Source organism: Homo sapiens, chromosome 15 (genome assembly GCF_000001405.40).
Source record: "Homo sapiens chromosome 15, GRCh38.p14 Primary Assembly".
Taxonomy (NCBI): domain Eukaryota; kingdom Metazoa; phylum Chordata; class Mammalia; order Primates; family Hominidae; genus Homo; species Homo sapiens.
In genome coordinates, this window is record NC_000015.10 from 87,363,652 (window position 1) to 87,378,528 (window position 14,877).

A 14,877-nucleotide genomic window follows, 5' to 3' on the forward strand; every position below is an offset into this window, starting at 1 on the left:
CTGCCTGAAACAACTCTGCAATGAGAGGATTAAAAGGCAGAGATAATTCTCAGTGGCTGCTGGAAAGGCATTCTGCAGAGGCATGGCTGACACCAGCCTGTCAGCTCTGAGGTGAAGCATGCCTTGTCTTCAATTGCTTAGCTTTTTACATTTTGTAACTCAGATAGTCAGACCATTCCTTCGTCAGTTTATGACATATTTAGCCCCCAGGTCCCCCTTCATATTTCTAAACTATGGTCCCTTCATAACCTAAATATTTCTGCTTTATCCTCCTGTAGCTGACATTAGTTTTATAATTACAGAAATATGGACCATAAGTTCCTCATAGAATTAGCTTCCTAGGGCTACTTTTGAAAAGCACTACAGACTGGGTGGCTTAAAACAACATAAATTTATTTTCTTACCATTTTGGAGGCCTCTCACAACTCCTGGTCTTTTGTTTTGGTTTGGTTCTTCCCTGAGGCCCTTTTCCTTGGCTGGTAGATGGCTGTCTTCTTTGGATGTCTTAACAGGGTCTTCCTTTCCTAACCTCCTCCCTCTTATAAAGACACCAGGATTGGAGCCCACCTCATGAGTTAAACTAATGACCTCAGTTTAACTTGGTTATCTTTTTAAAGACTCTATCTCCAAATATAACCACTTGATGAGGCACTGGAGGTTAGGACTTCAGCATAGAAATATGGAGTAGATACACAGTTTGGCCTGTAACACTGGTAGATTTTATTGTCCTGGAACAAATTTTGTCCTGTCACCTCCACTTTAGCATCCCTTCTCCCATTCAGGGAAGCCTTTAGTAAGGCAGTGGGAACATTTGACCTATCATTCAGCCATCCTAATTTCTGTTCCCACAAAGGTTGAAGCATTAGGCCACAGATCTCCCCATCCATTTTCTGCAATATAATTTTTAGGAAGAAAGAGAAAAGAACTCACATTAACTGAGAACCTATTAAGCCTAGGAGCAGTGCAAGATTTTATCTATGAATATTATAGTTCATTTAAACTCTCAACAACCTTAGGAAATGGGTATTATCTCAGTTTTAGAGACAAAAAGAACAGCCTCAGAGAATTTAATAACCTGGTAAAAAAAATTCCCATAATTAATGATGACAGAACTAAGAGGTTTGGATTCAAGAAAAAAAAAAAGAAAGAAAGAAAAGGAAAGAGGGAAGGGAAGGGGAAGGAGAGAAAGAGAAAGAAAGAAAGAGAAAGAAAAAGAGAAAGCGACAGAAAGAGAGAGAAAAAGAAAAGAAAAGAAAAGAAAAGTGAGCAATGTGAGGGTTGAGGGTATAGGAGTAAGGGGGTGAGAGAGTGACTGAATTATGTTAAAAACCTATGGGACAACAGATCACAGCAGAAAAGTTTAAATTCCCATTTATCCCTAAATGAGCCATTTTATAGCACAATAAAAGATAGCAGCATGTGATACAATCTAATACCACCCGTTTGTTTAATCATGATATCTTTACAGCACCCCCAGACACCCATCGTGTGGGTCCCAAGACACTTCACAAGTCGAATTGCAGGCCTTACTTTCACCTCACACTTCCATGCAGCCATCTGTGAGGAGAGATGAGCTCCCAATTCCCTGGGTCCGAGATGCAGTACTTACATGCCTGCATTGCAGCATTAACACTTTGAACCAATTAATTATGCTTAAAGATAAAGAGAGAGCCATAAGAACCCACTAGGAAGAAGGAACTGGCAGGAGTAGAATAGCAATCATCAAGCATTCCTGTGGTACAAAAGGGATTGGGGGAAGTTCTATATCTGAGATCATCACTCTGCTAGCCTTCGGCAGATACAATTGGCAGAAGGCAGCTCATTGTGTTTGCCAGCAGGCATGAGAATTATGGAAAAGGTCATTGTTAGGGATTTCAATAAGTAAGCTGATTCTGGGATTCTCTGGGTATAGAAGCATCCCTGGTAAGAAAATACTGACCTAGCTGGTCCCCAGGTTTTTTGCTAATTTCAGGACAACTAGTCCTCTACATCCCAATGGATCCAATTTTTTCAAAAGCCTCTGCATTTTACCTGCTTGGCAGAGATGGTAATGTGGATAGAAGATAGGTACCTGAGTATGAATGATAGATTAATGGACAGTTTTAGCAATTTCTAAGAGCAAAGGTTAGTTAAATATCCTTTCCTAACATTAAGTTGAGCTCATATTAAGGGTCAACATTAAAAGGCCCCACAGGGTTTATAAATAGAACAGATGGGCCAAAGATTATATCATAATAGGAGATAGATGTGGGTCCTGGAGGCAGTCTATAAAGATGGGGTACCCATTCCAGAGAACAGCACCTGTCTGCCAACCCAACTCCCACCCCTACCCCCAAAGAAAGAAAAGAGCTCCACCCTTCTTAAGGATTGAGCCCCAACCAAGACCTTGGTTGCTTTGGCTCTGTTTATTATTTCTTTTTTGAGTGAAGAAAAAAATGACAGAGAATAGCATTTGAAGTCACAATCTCTGAGAACATAAACTGGGACATGTTTTGGCTTGCCCTAACTTTAAAACCATTTTTATATATGAACATAAAAATAGACATTTTTGGAGTCTCCTTCAGATAATTACTTGGTAACCTCCACTTTTGGATTCTGGCGGATCTATTATAATGCTGCTATGAACTTTATTTCATACCACACCAGGGAGGGGGAGAGAGATACTGAGAAGTCGGAGTACTCAGATATTACATGGAATAACAGGGTCATAAAAATCAATGTAAAATTTAATGCAAAAGGGCTGTGGGCACCCAACCATTCAAGTTAGGAGATAAGGCAGATAGAAAGTAGGGTTGAGCTTCCAGAAAGTAGTATAGTATATTTTCCCTAACTCTATTGAAAAGTATACAATAATACTTCCGTTTGCCAATCCAACTGTGAGTTAAACATGTTTTCAGCCATGTTTTGGAACCTATTTCCTATTTGGAGAAAATAACCATCATCATAATAAAGCAAAAATAGCACTTATTGAACTTGTTCTATGTGGTAGGCATTGTGCCAGGCAGTTATATTATCAGTAAATTCTCATAACAATCCTGAATATTTTCACTGTTCCGTTTGCATATATGACAGCTGATAGAGGTAAGATCCTAGCCCATGTCACACATTAGATTCATGGTTATTTGGCTCCAAAAGCCATGATCTTTCCCAACCACATATCCATATCCAACCTTCACATTCAGGGCACTGTTGTGGGCACTTCTATTCACTGATTTAGTGAATCCTATGCAAAAGAATTATGGTTTCCTCTTTAAAATTCTGGACTAAAATTTACAATATTAGCTGTTTTATCAACTTCAGAGGTTTCTGTGAAGTGGCTCACTTCAAGACCTAGGCTCCTCTGCATTTGAGAGTCACAAAGTGATACCAAAATAAAAACAGATCAATTACTTTGAAAAATTGGTGAATTCTTGATTATTTAATGGAGTCTAGAGTAGTAATTGATTGGGCAAACTCCAGAGGTACATCATCTGGCTTTACAGCCGTATTTTACCATTTCCTAGATTAGTCACCTTGAATAAATTTCTTAATTTCCATGCATCACTTTTTTTAATTGCTCTCTTTCTTCAAGAGTACCAACCTGGGTAAGATGGTTGTGAGAATTATATGAGACAATGCATGCTTTAAATAGTCCATGATGCATAGTAGGTTCTCAAAATTTACTATTCTTATTATCATTATTATCATTACTTCTCTTCTACCCTAACTCTCCAATTCATTAGATACTTGAAAGATATAACTAGGTGAGCTAAATAGAGGCTGGCTGTGTAACATATGGCTCTGGGACACAGGCAGCCCTAGAGAGACTTGGTTTGACTGCGGTACTATGTAACAGAGTTTTGTCACCAGTAGTTTCCTAGACTCTCAAAACTTTCCATGTTAAAAAGTAGAAACAGAACACATTGCATTTACAGTCAAGTGATTTTTGACAAGGGTAGCAAGAAGATTCATTGAGAGACAGAGTCATCTTTTCAACAAACGGTAACTAGAACAACACCACAGACAAAAATTAATTCAAAATGGATCATAGACATATCATAGACATAAGAGCTAAAACTATAAAGCTGTTGGAAGAAAATGTATGAGCAGACCCTGCAAGATGGTTGACTAGATGCAGCCAGGAGGAGCTTCTCCCACCGAGAAAGACCAGACCATCAAGTAGATTGTCACACTGTAAGCAGATCTACAGAAAGAATGCATTGTGAGTGGACAGAGGGAGGATACCAACCTCAGTTTGAAAGGAAAGGAAACTAGGAATCATGCACAGGGTTGCTGAGCACCAGGACTTGTTCCTGGCCTCAAGAGGCTCCTAGGGAAAGATGAGAAACATAGGCAGAGAGTAGCCTACTGTTGCCATGGATCTCAAGGATTCTAGCTGTGAGAAACCTCACAATCCCCATGGACATCTGAGTTGACAAGGGGGAACTGCCTGGAAAGTTGGCATAAACAGAACTCCAGCTTGCATGGAGGCCAGAATGTTTGGCACAAGAATGGCTGCAGTGGAGTTCAGCCATGTGTGCCCATCCCCCAAGGCTTGCCATACTTCTCTAGGAGGCTTCAGCCTTGGTTAACTGTGGTGCCCGGGCTAAGCAGGGCTGTCTTGCCTGTGGGATGGGGCTAATCTTGTCTTAGAACTCCCCTGTCTGCTGGGCTCTGGCAATATCTGCTTATAGTACAGCCTCAGCTTGGTAGTAACCACTACCATGGTTTTTTCACTTGCAGACCCTGCCTATCTGTCAGAGTAATGTAGGAAGAACCCTACCAGTGTGCAGCCTAGTCACAGCCTTCTCTGCTGGAGTGCCTCTGTCCACAGCCTCCCCTTGCTACCCTGCCATGGTGCACATACTTGGGACCCTGCCACTACCCACTGGCATGCACAAGTGTGGACTTGCCTCCACCCTACCAGAACGTGCACGAGGACCCCCACCATCCAGCCAGCATGCATGCACACTTGGACCCACCAACACCACACCAGAGTGCTTTTTCTGGCAGCCCCAGTTGCAGTGTTGTTGCCAGTGGACTGGAAACACCTGGAGCCCTCCAGCACAGCTGGTGCTTAATCTTGAGGAGCCAGAGAACAAAGCTGCAGGCCTGGTTTCATCCCCTCAGGGTTAGAACACACAGTCCAGGAGTGCTAAGCTGAGTCTTGGCCTCCTGCAAGTATCCAGAAATGAAGCCAACTGACTAAACCTTCAAGGACATCAAATAATATAAAAGTGAAAAGCCCCATCCAAAAGACAGCAACTTAAAAGATTCAAGAAGCATCAGTCCACAAAGATGAGATGAGAAATAACAAGTACAAGAACCCTGGCAACTCTAAAAGCCAGAGTATCTTCTTACCTCCAAAAGAATATATTAGCTTTCCATCAATGGTTGTTAGCCATACTGAAATGGTTGAAATAAAAGATACAGAATTCCGAATGTGGATGGCAAGGAAGCTCACTGAAATACAGGAGAAGGTTGAAACACAATCAAAGAAAAACAGTGAAATGGTCACAGAGCTGAAAAGCAACATATTCATTTTATGGAAAAACAAAGCTGAACTTCTGGAAATGAAAAATTCACTATAGGAATTTCAGAATGCAACTAGAAGCATTAATAACAGAATAGACTAAGCTGAGGAAAGAATCTCAGAAGTCAAAGGCCACTACTTCAAATCAATGCAGGCAGAAAAAAATAAAAAAGAACTTTAAAAAACAGACAAAACCTCTGAGAAATGTGAGATTACATAGAGACCACACCTATGACTCACTGGCATTCCTGGAAGTGTAGGAGACTGAGTAAGCAACTTGGATAACATATTTGAGGATATTGTCCACAAAAATTCAGAGAGCCCCTGTGAGATACTACAAAAGATTACCATCCCTAAGACACATAGTCATCAGATTCTTCAAAGTCAATTTGAAAGAAAAAAATCTTAAATGCAGCTAAAGAGAAGAGGCAGGTCAATACAAAAGGAACCCCATCAGGCTAACAATAGACCTTTCAGCAGAAATCTTACAAGTTGGAAGGGATTGAGGGCCTACATTAAGCATCCTTAAAGAAAAGAAATTCCAACCAAGAATTCCACATTTAGCTAAACTAAGCTTCATAAGTGAAGGAGAAATAAAAACCTTTTCAGATGAGCAAATGCTAAGGGAATTCACTACCATCAGACTTGCCTTACAAGGGGTCCTTAATGGAGTGCTAAACACGGAAATGAAAGATGATTACCTGCCACCACAAAAACACAGTTAAGTATACAGCTCTGTGACTTTATAAAGCAACTATACAATCAAGTCTACATAAAAATCAGTTAACAACACAATGATAGGATCAAACCCTTACAAATCAATAATAACTTTGAATGTAAACAGGCTAAATGCCCCACTTAAAAGACATAGAGTGGGAAGTTGGATAAAGAAGCAAGACCAAACTGTATGCTGTCTTCAAGAGACATATGTCACATGCAATGACACCCACCAGCTCAGAGTAAAGGAATGGAGAAAGATCTATCAAACAAATGGAAAACAAAAGAGAATAGGAGTTGCTATTCTTATTTCAGACAAAATAGACTTTAAACCAAGAATCATCAGGAAGGACAAGGAAGGGCATTACATAATGATAAAGGTTTCAATTCAGAAAGAAGATTTACCTATCCTAAATATGTATGCACCCAAGACTGGAGTATAAAGATTCATAAAACAAGGCTTTAGAGACCTATGAAGAGACTTAGATAACCATACAATAATAGTGGGTGACCTCACATCCCACTAACAATGTTAGATCATGAGACAGAAAACTAACAAAGATATTCAGGACCAAAACTTGACACTTGACCAAATGAACCTAAGAGATATCTACAGAATAATCCACCCAGCAACAACAGAATACATATTATTCTCATCTGCACATGGCACATACTCTAAGATCAACCACATGCTTGGTGGAAAAGCAATTCTTAACTAATTTAAAAGAAATGAAATCATACCAACAACATTCTCAGACCACAGGACAATAAAAATGTATAGCAATAGCAGATAAACAACTCAAAACCATATAATTGCATGGGAATTAAACAACCTGCTTCTGAATGACTTTTGGGTTAAAAAAATGAAATTAAGGCAGAAATAAAAAAAAAATTGAAACTAATTAAAACAAAGATACAACTTTCCAGAATCCCTGAGACACAGCTAAAGCAGTATTAAGAGGAAAGGATTTTTTGTATAATTTTTTTAAAAACTTCAATAGTTCTGGGGGTACAGGTGGATTTTGGTTACATGGATGAGTTTTTTAGTAGTGAATTCTGAGATTTTTAGTGCATCCATCACCTGAGCAGTGTATACTGTATTTAATATATTTTCTTTTATTCCTCACTCTCCTCCCAACCTTCCTCCTCCAAGTCCCCATAGTCCATTATATCACCCTGCACGTTTTTGCATCCTCACAGCTTAGCTCCCACTTATAAATGAGCATATATGTTATTTGGTTTTCCATTACTGAGTTACTTCACTTAGAATAATGGCCTCCGGTTCCATCCAAGTTGCTGCAATAAACATTATTTTGTTTCTTTTTATGGCTGAATAGTAGTCCACGGTGTAAAATAACACATTTTCTTTAACCACTTGTTGGTCAGTGGGCACTTAGGTTGGTTCTATATTCTTGCAATTGTGAATTGTGCTGCTATAAGCGTGCATATACATATGTATTTTTCATATAATGACTTCTTTTCCTTTGGGTAGATACCCAGTAGTGGAGTGAATGGTAGATCTACTTTTAGTTATTTAAGTAATCTCCATACTGTTTTCTATACTGATTATACTAATTTACATTCCCGCCAGCATTGTAAAAGTGTTCTCTTTTTACCACATCCATGCCAACATCTATTGTTTTTTGACTCTTTTATTATTACCATTCTTGCAGGAGTAAGGTGATATCTCATTGTGGTTTTAATTTGCATTTCCCTGATGATTCGTGATGTTGAGCATTTATTCATGTTTGTTGGCTGTTTGTATATCTTTCTTTTGAGAAATGTCTATTCATGTCCTTTGCTCACTTTTTGATGGGATTATTGTTTTTTTTTTTTTCTTGCTGATTTGAGTTCCTTGTAGATTCTGGATACTAGCCCTTTGTCAGATGCATAGTTTGTAAATATTTTTCTCCCACAGACTGTGGGTTGTCTGTTTACTCTGCTGATTATTTCTTTTGCTGTGCAGAAGCTTTTTAGTTTAATTAGGTTCCATTTATTTATTTTTTTGTGTCATTTGCTTTTGGGGTCTTATTCATAAATTCTTTACTTAAGCCAATGTCTAGAAGAGTTTTTCCAATGTTGTCTTCTATAATTTTTATGATTTCAGGTCTTAGATTTAAGTCTTTGATCCATCTTGAGTTGACTTTTATATAAGGTGAGAGATGAGGATCCAGTTTCATTCTTATACATGTGGCTTGCCAGTTTTCCCAGCCAATTTATTGAATAGGGAGTTCATTCTCCAATTTACATTTTTGCATACTTTGTCAAAGATCAGCTGGCTGTAAGTATTTGGCTTTATTTATGAGTTCTCTATTTTGTTACATTTGGTCTAAGTGCCTATTTTTATACCAGTACCATGATGTTTTGGTAACTATAGCCTTGTAGTATAATTTGAGGTCCAATAATGTGATGTCTCCAGATTAGTTATTTTTGCTTACTATTGCTCTGTCTATGTGGGCTCTTTTTTGGTTCCATATAAATTTCAGGGATTTTTCCTAGCTCTGTGAAAAATGATAGTATTTTGCTGGGAATTACATTGAATTTGTAGATTGATTTGGGCAGTATGGTCATTTTCACAATATTGATTCTTCCTATCCATGAGAATGGGATGTGTTTCCATTTGTAGTTTTTATTGTAGAGATCTTTTACCTCCTTGGTTAAGTATATTCTCAGGTATTTTATTTTTTATTTTTGCAGCCATTGTAAAAGGGATTGAGTTCTTGATTTGATTCCCATATTTGTTGTTGTTGGTGTACACAGCAGTGCTACCGATTTTTCTACATTGATTTTGTAACCTAAAACTTTACTGAATTCATTGATCAGATCTAGTAGCCTTTTGGATGAGTCTTTAGGGTTTTCTAGGTGCATGATCATATCATCAGCAAATAGCAACAGTTTGACTTCTTTTTTTCCAATTTGGATGCCCTTTATTTATTTGTTTTTCCTGATTGCTCTGCCTAGAAGTTCTAGTACTATGCCAAATAGAAGTGGTAAAAGTGGGCATCCTTATCTTCTTCCAGTTTTCAGGGAGAATGATTTTAACTTTTTCCCATTCAGTATTATGTTGGCTGTGGGTTTGTCATATATGGCTCTTATTACTTTGAGGTAAGTTCCTTCTATGCCTACTTTGTTGAGGGCTTTTCACATAAAGGAATGCTATATTTTATCAAATGCTTTTTCTGCATCTATTGAGATGATCATAGGGTTTTTGTTTTTAATTCTGTTTATGTGATGTATCAAAATTATTGACTTATGTATGTTAAACCATCCTTGCATCCCTGGGATAAAACCCACTTGATCATATTGTACTATCTTTTTGATGCACTATTAGATTCAATTATCTAGTATTTTCTTGAAGATCTTTGCATCTATGTTAATCAGTGATATGGATCTATTATTTTCTTTTATGTCCTTTCTTGATTTTGGTATTATGGTGATGCTGGCTTCACAGAATGATTTAGAGAGAAATTCTTCTTTCTCAATCTTTGAGAATACTTTCAGCAGGATTGGTACCAATTTTTTGAATGTCAGGTAGAATTCAGCTGTGAATTCATCTGGTCCTGGACTTTTTTGTTGGCAATTTTTCTTTATTAGTGATTCAGTCTCACTACTTGCTATTGGTCTGTTCAGGGCTTCTATTTCTTCCTGATTTAATCTAGGATGGTTGTATGTTTTCCGAAATGTATCCATTTCCTCTAGATTTTCTAGTTTGTGTGCATAAAGGTGTTCACAGTATCCTTGAATTATCTTTGATGTAGGCATTTAACACTATATAACATTCAAGAGGAAAATTTATAGCACTAAACACTCATTTAAAAAAGTTAAAAAGATCTCAAATTAACAACCTAATGTCATATCTAGAGGAACTAGAAAAATAGGAGTAAACCAACCCCAGAACTAGCAGAAGAAATGAAATAACCAAAATCAGAGCTGAACTGAACCAAACTGAGATGCAGAAATTTATGCAAAAGATCAATAAAACAAAAACATTGGATCTTTGAAAGACTAAATAAGATTGATAGACTGCTGCCTAATTATTAAAGAAAAAAAGAGAGAAGATTCAAATAAACACAATCAGAAATGACAAAGCTGACATTACCATCAACCAACAGAAAAACAAAAAACCTTAGAGATTATTATGAACATCTCTATGCACACAAACTAGAAAACCAAGAAGAAATGGACAAATTCCTGGAAATATAAAACCTCCCAAGATTGAACCAGGAAGAAATTGAAATTTTGAACAGACCAATAACAAGTTCCAAAATTGAAACAGTAATAAAAAACTACTAACCAGAAAAAGCTGTGGTCTAGATGAAATCACAGCCACATTCTACTAGATGTGTAAAGAAGAGCTAGTACTGATTCTACTAAAACTATCCCCATCCCTCCCCACCCCTCAAAAAGGAGAGGCTATTCCCTAAATCATTCTATGAAGCCACCATTATTTCCATACCAAAACCTGACAGATACATAACCAAAAAAAGGAAACTTCAGGCCAATATCCCTGATAAACATAGATAAACATAGATGTAAAAATCCTCAATTAAATAGTAGCAAATTAAATCCAGCAGCACATCAAAAAGCTAATCCACCACGATCAAGTAGGCTTTATTCCTGGGATGCAAAGCTGGTTCAACATATGCAAATCAATAAAGTGATTCATCATGTAAATAGAACCAAAAATGAAAACCACATGGTCATCCCAACAGGCATACAAAAGGCTTTTGATAAAATTCAACATCCCTTCATATTAAAAACTTTTGACAAACTACCTTAAAATCGTAAGAACTATCTATGAAAAACCCACAGCCAACATTATACTGAACGAGCAAAAGCTGGAAGCAATCCCCTTGAGAACCAGAACAAGACTAGGATGCCCAGTCTCACCATTCCTATTCAATATAGTACTGGAAGTCCTAGCCAGAGCCATCAGGCAAAAGAAGGCAATCAAATAGGAAGAGAGGAAGTCAAATTCTCTTTGCAGATGATATGATTCTATACCTAGAAAACCCCGTAGTCTGCCTTTGGGGAGCTCCTTGAACAGATAAACAACTTCAATAAAGTTTTAGTATACAAAATCAATGTACATGAATAAGTACCATTTCTATACACCAATAACATCCAAGTTGACAGCCAAATCAAGCATGCAATTCCATTCATAATAACTAAAAATAGAATAAAATACCTAGGAATATGGCTAACCAAGGAGGTTAAAGGTCTCTACAATGAGAATTACAAAGCACTGCTGAGAGAAATCAGAGATGACACAAACAAATGGAAAAGCATTCTATGCTTATGTATGGGAAGAATCAATATTGTTAAAATGGCCACAGTGGCCAAAGCAATTTACAGATTCAGTGCTATTCTTATCAAGCCACCAATTTCACATTTCATAGAATTAGAAAAGTGTTCTCAAATTAATCTGAAACTAAAAAACAGCCCAAATAGCCAAAATAGTCCTAAGCAAAAAGAACAAAGCTGGAGGCATCACACTACCCAACTTCAAACTATACTACAAGGCTACAGTAACCAAAACAGCAGGATTCTGGTACAAAAACAGACACATAGACCAATGGAACAGGTTAGAGGACCCAGAAATAAAGCTTTACATCTACAACCAACTGATCTTTGAAAAAGTCTACAATAACAAGCAATGGGGAAAGGACTCCCTATTTAATAGACGGTGCTGGGATAACTGGCTGGCCATGCGTAGAACATTGAAACTGGACCCCTTACTTTAACCATATATAAAAATCAACTCAAGGTGCATTAAAGATTTAAATGTAAGACCTGAAACTAAAAACCCTAGAATAAAACCTAGAAAATACCACTCTGTACATAGGCCTGGGCAAAGATTTTATAATGAAGTCTCCAAAAGCAATTGCAGCAAAAACAAAAATAGAGCAGTGGGACCTAATTAAATTAAACAGCTTCTGCACAGCAAAAGAAACTCAACAGAGTAAACAGGCAACCCATAGAATGGAGAAAATATTTGCAAACTATGCATTTGACAAAGATCTAATATCCGGAATCTGAGCTTAAGTTAATAACGAACTTTAGCAAAAGACAAACAATCCCACTGAAAAATGAGCAAAGGACGTGAACAAACACTTCTCTAAAGAAAATATACACATAGCCAACAACAATGTGAAAAAAATCTTCAACATCACTGATCATCAGAGAAATGTAAATCAAAACCAAAGTGAGATACTGTGTTATACTCCTCAGAATGGCTATTTTTAAAATGTCAGAAAATAAAAAACATTGGCAAGGTTGCAGAGAAAATGGAACACTTATAAACTGCTGGTGCGAAAGTAAATTAGTTCAGGCACTGTGGAAAGCAGTCTGTAGATTTCTCAAAGTACTTAAAACAGAACTACAGTTTTACCCAGCAATCCCATTACTGGGCATATATGCAAAGGAAAGTAATTCACTGTACCAAAAAGACACATGCACTCGTATGTTCATCACAACACCATTCACAGTAGCAAAGAAATGGAATTGACCCAGATGCCCATCAATGGTGGACTAGATAAAGGAAATTTGGTACCTATACACCATGATATGCTATGCAGCCACAAAAAAGAATAAAATTGTACCCTTTGCACCAATGTGGATGCAGCTGAAGACCACTATCCTAAGTGAATTAATGTGGGAACAGAAAATCAAGTACCACATCTGCACTTGTCAATGAGAGCTAAATATTGAGTACAGATGCACAGAAAGAAGGCAACAATAGATGCTGGGAACTACTTGAGAGTGCAGCACAGGAGGAGGGTGAGGGTCAAAACCCTACCCATCAAGCATTATGCTCACTACCTGAGTGAAGAAATCATTTGTACACCAAACCCCATTGATCCATGTAACAAACATGCACATGAACCCTCCGAACTTAAAAATTAAAAATAAAAATAAACACATATGAGTACATTTTTGGACCTAGAGTTGGGCAAAGCCTTCTTAGATAGGATGCCAAATGGACAAGTAATGAAAGAAAAAGAAATGAATAAATTTGACTTCATCAGATCCAAAAACTTTTGTTCTTAAAAAGACACTACAAAAAATAAACATACAACCCAGAAAATGAAAGAAAATATGTGCAAATCACATACTGATATCTAGAATATAATTTTAAAATCCATGTAATTTATAATGCAAAGATAAATTATTCAATATAAAAATGGACAAAGGTCATAAATAGATACTTTTCCAAGGAAGATATACAAATGGCCAATAAGCACATGAAAACATACTTAAGAACATTAGCCATCAGGAAAATGTGAATAATAACCACAGTGAAATACCACTTCACACCCATTATAACGACTATAATAAAAAACATATGGAGGGTGGTGCCAAGATGGCCAAATAGGAACAGCTCCAGTGTACAGCTCCCAGCGTGAGCAATGCAGAAGACAGGTGATTTCTGCATTTCCAACTGAGGTACCGGGTTCATCTCACTGGGGAGTGTCAGAGAGTGGGTGTAGGACAGTGGGTACAGCGCACCTAGCATGAGCTGAAGCAGGGCGAGGCATCGCCTCACCTGGGAAGCACAAGGGATCAGGGAATTCCCTTTCCTAGTCAAAGAAAGGGGTGACACATGGCACCTGGAAAATCGGGTCACTCCAACCCTAATACTGTGCTTTTCCAACGGTCTTAGCAAACGGCACACCAGGAGATTATATCCTGTGCATGCCTCTGAGGGTATTATGCCCATGGAGCCTCGCTCATTGCTAGCATAGCAGTCTGAAATCAAACTGCAAGGTGGCAGCGAAGTTGGAGGAGGGGCACCCACCATTGAGGAGGCTTGAGTAGGTAAACAAAGCAGCTGGGAAGCTCAAACTGGGTGGAGCCCACTGCAGCTCAAGGAGGCCTGCCTGCCTCTGTAGACTCCTCCTCTGGAGGCAGAGCATTGCCAAACAAACGGCAGCAGAATCCTCTGCAGACTTAAATGTCCCTGTCTGACAGCTTTGAAGAGAGGAGTGGTTCTCCCAACATGCAGCTGGAGATCTAAGAACAGACAGACTGCCTCCTCAAGTGGGTCCCTGACCCCCGAGTAGCCTAACTGGGAGGCACCCCCCAGTAGGGGCAGACTGACACCTCACATGGCCGCGTACTCCTCTGAGACAAAACTTCCAGAGGAACGATCAGGCAGCAACATTTGCTGTTCACCAATATCTGCTGTTCTGCAGCCTCCGCTGCTAATACCCAGGCAAACAGGGTCTGGAGTGGACCTCCAGCAAACTGCAACAGACCTGCAGCTGAGGGTGCTGACTGTTAGAAGGAAAATGAACAAACAGAAAGGACATCCACACCAAAACCCCATCTGTATGTCACCATCATCAAAGACAAAGGTAGACGAAACCATAAACATGGGGAAAAAACAGAGCAGAAAAACTGGAAACTCTAAAAATCAGAGTGCCTCTCCTCCTCCAAAGGAATGCAGCTCCTCAACAGCAACAGAAAAAACCTGGATGGAGAATGACTTTGAAGAGTTGAGAGAAGAAGGCTTCGGATGATCAAACTACTCCGAGCTAAAGGAGGAAGTTTGAATCCATGGCAAAGAAGTTAAAAACCTTGAAAAAAAATTAGATGAATGGCTAACTAGAATAACCAATGCAGAGAAGTCCTTAAAGGACCTGATG

At 38.4% G+C, this 14,877-nt stretch overlaps 1 long non-coding RNA gene across 1 annotated transcript in view, besides 1 other annotated feature; it reads right to left on the reverse strand.

Annotated features, from left to right (window-relative positions):
• LOC102724465 (uncharacterized) overlaps positions 1–14,877 on the reverse strand; it is a 379,687-nt gene that overhangs the window by 39,483 nt on the left and 325,327 nt on the right. The window lies entirely within an intron of this gene.
• Positions 4,953–6,152: an enhancer, noted in NCBI's record as "CDK7 strongly-dependent group 2 enhancer chr15:87911835-87913034 (GRCh37/hg19 assembly coordinates)". NCBI's record gives its function as "activates an origin of replication core promoter dependent on BRD2, BRD4, P300/CBP, MED14 and CDK7 cofactors, with strong dependence on CDK7, by STARR-seq in HCT116 cells {active_cell/tissue: HCT116}" and the evidence as "EXISTENCE:reporter gene assay evidence [ECO:0000049][PMID:35650434]".